This window comes from Homo sapiens, chromosome X (assembly GCF_000001405.40).
Source record: "Homo sapiens chromosome X, GRCh38.p14 Primary Assembly".
Classification (NCBI taxonomy): Eukaryota; Metazoa; Chordata; class Mammalia; order Primates; family Hominidae; genus Homo; species Homo sapiens.
Window position 1 is genome coordinate 104,189,067 of NC_000023.11, and position 7,405 is coordinate 104,196,471.

Genomic DNA, 7,405 nt, shown 5'->3' on the forward strand with positions numbered 1-7,405 from the left:
ATCAGTTCACCGGTGACAAGGATGGGAGTATCCACTGAGTTTCTGATGGATTTTTAAGATGGTATTCGCCTACTACAAAAAAGGCATGATTTTTTTTTTACCTGCCATTGTAAGATTGCTAGTGTTTTTGGATGAAAGGCACCTGAGAATCATAAGTATTAGAGATTTGGGCAATGTTCTCCACAGGTGTATTCAGTATTGTCGCCTAGTATTAATTATGTGTTCATTATGCATTTGTACCAATGTACCTTAATGGAATTTAAAAAAGAAGTCTTTGAAGTGACTTTTTATCTATCACTAGCCAAAATGATCGTCTCAACTCTTCCTAATCAGAAGAGTCACTGGTCAAATACCACAAAATTGGAATCTTAATCATTTTTAAGCCTAAGCCAGTGGCTCACTTATTGGAACAAGGATCATACTACAGAAGGATTTGAACAGCTCTTAAAGTTAGAAAATAGAGAATTTGATCCACAAAACATTTTGGGGTGGATATGCCAAAAACTAAACCAAACTGATTTAGAAATTTTTATTTTGACAGAAGCGATCCAAGCAGCGGAAGTTACAGCAGAAGGCCTTCCGCAAGAGGCAGCTGAAGGAGCAGAGGCAGGCCCGGAAGGAGAGGCTCAGTGGGCTCTTCCTTAACGAAGAGGTGCTGTCCTTGAAAGTGACTGAGGAAGACCATGAAGCAGATGTTGATGTTTTGATGTAATAAGGGTGAATTTATCAACGTTCTTTGTGAGCATTAAAATACTCCATCCTTATGGGTTTACATGCATCTTGACCAAAATTTTGGTTAGGGCTGTGCTGATGTACCATTAATAATTTAAGCCAGTGGTTCTTGGCAGGTGATCCCAAGACCTGCAGCTTCAGCATCACTTGAGAAGTTGTTAGGAATGCATACTAGTGGGCCCCGCCCCCAGACATAGTGAATCAGAAACCAACAGGGAGGCGCCTAGCATTGTTTTTTTAACAAGTGCTGGGTTATTCTGATGCACAGTCTAGTTTAAGAACCACTACTTTGGGTAAACGTTTTGACTGTTTAAAGTTTATGGCGGTGAAGTGGGCGTCTTCAAAGACTAGTACTTACACAGTTTAGAAGATTTCAAGGTACTGCTGACAGTAGTTTATTATGTCAGTATACATACATGTGTAGAGATCATAATTTAGTTCCCTTCTTAATGTTACAATTTCTTAGTTTACTTTTCCTAAAGGGCCATAGCATAATTCTTGATTCCTGGTGGAAATCTTTTCTGAGGTGTGGGGGTGGGCAAGGTGTGGATTGCTGTTTACGATAGTGCCTTCATTAGTTTTAGTTCTGTCTGTTTTCATTCATTATTGACTCAAAGGTATTAGAACAGGCCCTTATCTTTTTCCTATTAGATTTATTTTTGTTTTTTACTTTATGTAAGTTCAGAATCCTTTTTTAAGTGATGACTACTGATGAAATAATGTTACTAGTAGCTGAATTTTAGACTTGATGCTATGTTGATTAATATTTAAATGGTGAAAGTAATTAGGCAAAATAAGCAATTCTGCTTTTCTGTTGCTTTCAGAATTTTTAGGCTGTAAAATTGTCTCAGGCAGGAAGTCAGTCTATATCTCTCTCAAGTTCTTATTGTAGGTCATTTTTTTTTCAGCACAGCTCTAATTTTTAAATATTTGGTATAACAGCTTCTGGCATGTGACCTAGTTAATGTTGAAAATTAACTGATGAAAACCCTTGTAGATCTGCTAAACTTCTCTATAAATTGCTAGAAATATACAGAGCAATGAGATATAGAAAACACCTTAGCTTGTTGGTTATTAATAGAGCTCTAATTTTAACTGTGAAATCATGGAGTTTCTTTAAATGTTTTCCTAGAGTGTTTGTTATCATGAACATTAGAAATAGCATTATTCCTTTTCTTCTACCACATGTCTTGAACATTCACATGGGTTAAAGAAGATGGAAACTGATACTACTGACAATCAAGCTGCTTTCTGACTTTCATAATTTTCTTTATATTGTGGATAGCATTTTGAAGGTGACCGTGATTCTGTAGGAAGAGCTGTAATCAATATTTTTCAAACTCTAAGAGTACAGAGGTTAGTAAGATTTCTTTTTTTTTTACTTTTTGTTACGTCAAGTAGCTTATTAAGAAAAAGATTCATGACTTAAATTCTTAATTCTCAGTTGATACAAAGGCTTATAATCATGTGTTTTAAAATTTTGATTTCATTTTCGTTCCTTGAAGGTTAAAGAATGGAAACTGGGGATAAAAATTAATACACTGCAGCTTTGCCAAGGTCTGTGATATGGTTGTAACCTTTTAAAGACTACTAAAGTCATAATTTGAAATTTTTACTAAAATAAAACATATGTGTCTATGGTTTTCAATTGGAGTAGTCTTTCTTACTTTCCCCCTTCCCCTCTTTGGTTCTCCTAACCAGCTTAGAGGACCCAAAGAGAGCTTAGGGATAGACACCAGAATACTCTGTGGAGGTGGAACAACTTAACCTCACTGTTTTCCCTTCCAAGTATAGGAAGAGCAAATAGAGCATAGTAACTGTATCTAAATTCTCTACCTGCTCTTAGCAAAAGCAAAATCCCACAGAATGATTGCCTGCTGTCTTTACCTATTCTTCAAGGAAAACAGGCCACTTTTGGAGACCATAGAGCACCATTTATCTGTCAAATACTTGGAAACTATTTACTTAACGGTCATCAGTAAAAAACCCTAAACAAGGTCATGATATAATTTAAGACCAATTCCCCTACTCTCCCAATAATCACATAGTCTTATTACTTTCAATTTAACTTGAGTCACTATTAAGCAAGTTTACCAAAGTGCCACAAAGTTGATTTTTAACGTTTGTAAAGGTTTGAATGTTTATAGAAGTGCATCATGAAATTTTGTGTAAATCCAGATGAACTGTCATTATAGTACTATAAATTAGAGATAGTCCATAAAGTTGGGTTGAAGGAGATTGAAAATATTTCCTTTGATTAAAAGAAAATAATTAACTAACTTGGGCTTGCTTGTGATTGAAGAGGGAGATTAGATAGTCCTCTGTCCCCCCAAAAAAGAAACTAGCAGAGAAAGACATAAAAAGCTCTTTGGTGTCTGTTCATGTGCTGTACATTTTTTCCGTTTTAATGTCTTGTGTAGATAATTCAAAGTTTGAACTATTTCTTTCTTGGAATAAGTAATAATTTATTCAATATGGTGTATCTCTGAGTTCAATTTAAAACAATCCAACTCAGTAATATTTATTTTTAAATACAAATCCTAACTAACCAATTAATTAATAAAAAGGCAAGACTTACTTGCTGTAGTATTGGTTCTCATCTGTAGAGAACTGACATTGGAGCAAATTTTAAGTCTCCCCTTTGAAAATAAGCCTTGTTAACTGAGGGCGTAATACATTTCCCACAGATTTATCCAGAAACATTTTATTAGAGATCTTATAGTAGTATCTCAGTTCCTACTACAGCTTTCTAAAGGATGAGACTTGCATTTAACAAAATGACATATATAATATTTTTCTATAGTTTTGCAACTGAATTAAAGGAAGGTGATGTATTATAATGTGTAGTGAGGTATAAAGGGCTAGTTCATTCTCTCCCAACAAGAACTTAGAATAAAATAACACTTTTTTTTCATGAGACTTACCTCATTTTTGTTAGGCTATGGCAGTTTTGTCCAGTTCCTCTGTCCCTTGAGTGAATTAGATATTGGTGAATTAATCTCAGAAACTGACCTATAAAATAATGACTCATTATAGATTGGGTGAACTTCTCATTTTATTTAGCTTTTAAAAGTGCTAAATCCTCTCATAAAGGAAAAATTATAGGAAACTATAGCGGTATCCAGATTCTGATGAGCTTTAAAAATTATAAAATATAGCAAATGTCTTCATATTTTAGCCAGAAATATTAGTACACAACCAATATAGAAGTCTTGTTTGTTTCTGGGTTCTCCAGCAGAGACTTTTTGTTTGTGGCTTACTCTGTATAGCCTCATGTGCCTTAAAGGTGGTGAACTCTAGTTTTTGTCAATATCAGGCTTTTCAAAACTCAAAAACAATCCAAATGTTGTAATTTGTTTTGCATAATGCCCATGGAATTGGATATCAGTAAGCAAAGCCATTAAATCGAACCAATCAATGCTAATAGAGTATAAAAACAAAAACCTTCAAATTTTAAGTTTCATTTGTGTAACTTTATTTTCGGCCTAGCTAGATCATTGAAGAGCCTTGAAAGTTATCTAAAGTATGGCTTAATGTATTTTTTTCCCTCTGAAAAAGATCATATGCCAGGATACTTCTTCAAACCAGATCACTTTTAATATCTAGAAAGATAATTTTCAAGGTATAGGCAAAAGCACTTCAAGGACAGAGATTATGTAGCAAGTTGATTCTCTAGGAATTCTTTGAACTCATTTGTGTAATAGCTGGAACACACTCCTCTTCTTTCCTTTAACAAATGAACTTTTAGCACTTCTGTCTTCAAGGAAAAACATTTGTTTGGAATTGAAGGGTACTCGCAGTCCGTTTATAGTTTGGGACAATTAATAGGAAAATCCCCAGTTGCATTCAAATAATAGTGTTGATGTTGAGGGCACTGACTCATTCAGCATGTCTGAACTAGAAGTAAATTTAATTCTGAAAGGACTGTTAGTTAGGAAATAAGTATTTGTATACATATGTACTGTGGTAACTTTGGATTCATTTTAAGTCTGATAAAGTAAGATAAACTTTGTCTTAAAAATAAAATTATGCTAAGTGAATAAAAACTGAGATATTTTAAGCTAGGCATCTTTGTTAGCATAGTATCCGGAACATAACTACTTATAATGCTTAGGTCTTATTTCTTTGGAAAATAAGTTACTTATTCCAGAAGCCTTAGAAGGAATTCTGAAAATTCTTCTAACTGGCCATTAAGAGTAAGGAAGTTGAATGGTACTGCTGAAGATCTGAGTTGACTCACTGAAATTTTATTTTCTTATTTTTTTAACATTAAAATTATTTCTTTTTGGCTCTCCCTCTAGTTATTTTTTAAATTAAGGTAATTACTGTTTTAACCTAGAGCATATAATGGCAAATTAAATTTTAATTTGACACTCATACCGAACTCAGAAAAGCTTGTTTGATCTTCTCTAAATTCTGTATGTAGTACTTTTTTTAATTGTCACATTTCTTTGTTACATCTTTGTGTCCAACAAAACCTGTGGAAATCTGTGTTCATTTTTGTGGTGAGGGATGGGGGTGAAAAAGGGGAGACTTGCTCTAATTATGCATATACATTTGACTATGTAAAGGTAGTTGTAGACTATATGTATAAATAACAAGTTAACACTTAATATTCTAAATTGTTCTAAGGAACAGTGGCCTGAAGCCATGACTAGTTTTGTGGAGCTGCTGGCTCTTTTAACAGTAGCTGACCTATTGGATTTAAACTGAGACTGAAATTGACATTTGTGGTTAGGTTATCTAGCTGAGGCTTTTAACAATGGAGCAGATAATGTCTGTTCCTGTAGTGGATCCATTTAATTTCCTATTTGAGTACTCTCACTTAACAAGTATTATCTATTCTGAACCTTTGTGTTGGGAATTTAAGGACTATTGTCAAAGGCTATTAATGGTAAACAAGTATATGCAAAACAATTCACATATGGGTAAAAATTTCAAATTGTGGGTTTTTGTTTTTGCTTTTTAGTTTCAAAGATTAGTTATGTAGCAGCAATATCATAACCAAAGCAAGTAGGAAGTTGACTGGTTTGGAGAATCTTCAAGTAGTTTTAAATACTGTAATGTATCAGATTGTTAACCAGGATTTTTTTTTCCTGTATTACTGCTAAATATATTACTATATTAATGCACTTTTGTATATATAACTGTCTTCTGTACATTCTGTACTTACTACAGTGTATATAAAGCCTGTTTTCCCTGAAGCTGTGAGGGAATAACAATAGTTGTATCATAAGTCGTTTCTATTTTGAGTTCCTTCTTGTACTTGAAAGTAGTTCAGTAGTGAAATCTAAATGAGTGTGTATGGTTGTAATTAAAACTGGCAATGTGGCAGAGCTGTCTTTTGAAACTGAATACCAGAATGAAAAGTGTTGTTTTGGTTAAGAACTCTTATAATATATTATTTCTTTTGATGTACCCTGAGTTGTTACACAGCCCACTCACTGCTGCTTACTACTTTATACTTCTGAGTCAGCTCCTTTCATGCTCTATCCCAGAATATTTACCAACAGAGGAGAACTGCTCCCTTTTCTGTTTCTCACAGTTTGGTTATGGCTTTATAAACTTTTATTTGGTGAAAGCCCCAGATACCCAAATGTCATTGGCAAAACTTATTTTTTTTTCTGGACAGATCAGATTTCTAGAGAGAGCAGATTTCTAGAGAGATTAGCATTCATAGTAAGTGAAAATTGTCTAATTTTTTTAATCCATGCTATTACTGGGCAGTAGGTCTAATTTTTTTTGACAAAAAATAGATCTATTTTCCTTATATATTGATTTAGAATCTTAAGTTAGAATTTTATAGAAGAAATGTCTGAGCAGTTCTATGTATGGAGGAGCAATTCAGCTTTTCAGCAGCAACTTTATCTTTTGCCACTAGAGGGAGATCTGTGGTTGCTTTCTCCTTTGGAGAATAGCTGCTTTGCTTTTATTTTTAATTTCTAAGGTTGGAATAGAACTTATTCTCAAAATTCCTTTAGTGTTATTAAATATTTTCATTTATTAGTCAAAGGTAAGTTAATTAAGCTTGTTTAATGATGCCAATCTTATGCTTTTCTGTAATCTTCAATTTTTAATAAATGTGAGTTAGATACTAAGTGAAATGTGCGTGTGTGTGTTTCTTCTCTTAGGTACTCTAGAGCTCCATATGTGGCTAGTGACTACCATAATGGGCAGTGCATAATGTACTATCCATTATGGTAGTCACTAGCCACATATGTCTATTTAAATGAATTAAAGTTAAGTAAAATTTAAAATGTAGTTCTTTAGTCTCCTTAGCAATTCTTCAAGTATCCAGTAGCTACCATGTGGCTACAGGCTATTTACTGTATTGAAAAGCATGAGATGTAGAACATTTCCATCATCACAGAAAGTTCTGTTGGACAGTGCTGCTCTAGAGATTTGCTGGTTTATGTAGTGATCATTATCATCATTTTATCAGTGAACAGTAATTAGTGGCTAAAAAACTGCTGCCCACAGTTAACTGTTGTAGGTGATTGGTGTGAGAGGGAGATTAAACTTTTTCTTTTTTTTGAGACAGGGCCTCGCTCTGTCACTCAGGCTGGTATGCAGTGGTGTGATCATAACCCACAACAGCTTTAACCTCCCAGGCTCAAGCGGTCCTCCCACCTCAGCCTCCGAAGTAGCTAGGACCACGGGCACATGTCACCAC

At 34.2% G+C, this 7,405-nt stretch overlaps 1 protein-coding gene across 3 annotated transcripts in view; it reads left to right on the forward strand.

Annotated features, from left to right (window-relative positions):
• The window catches only part of FAM199X (family with sequence similarity 199, X-linked), a 38,837-nt gene extending 32,001 nt beyond the window's left edge, over positions 1-6,836 (forward strand). For all 3 annotated transcript variants that reach the window (XM_047441826.1, NM_207318.4, XM_005262079.4), the window contains exon 6: positions 542-6,836. In XM_047441826.1, coding sequence (XP_047297782.1) covers positions 542-712 — 171 coding nt within the window. In that variant the 3' untranslated portion in view covers positions 713-6,836. The remainder of the gene's footprint in view (positions 1-541) is intronic.
• Positions 6,837-7,405: the final 569 nt, after the last annotated feature.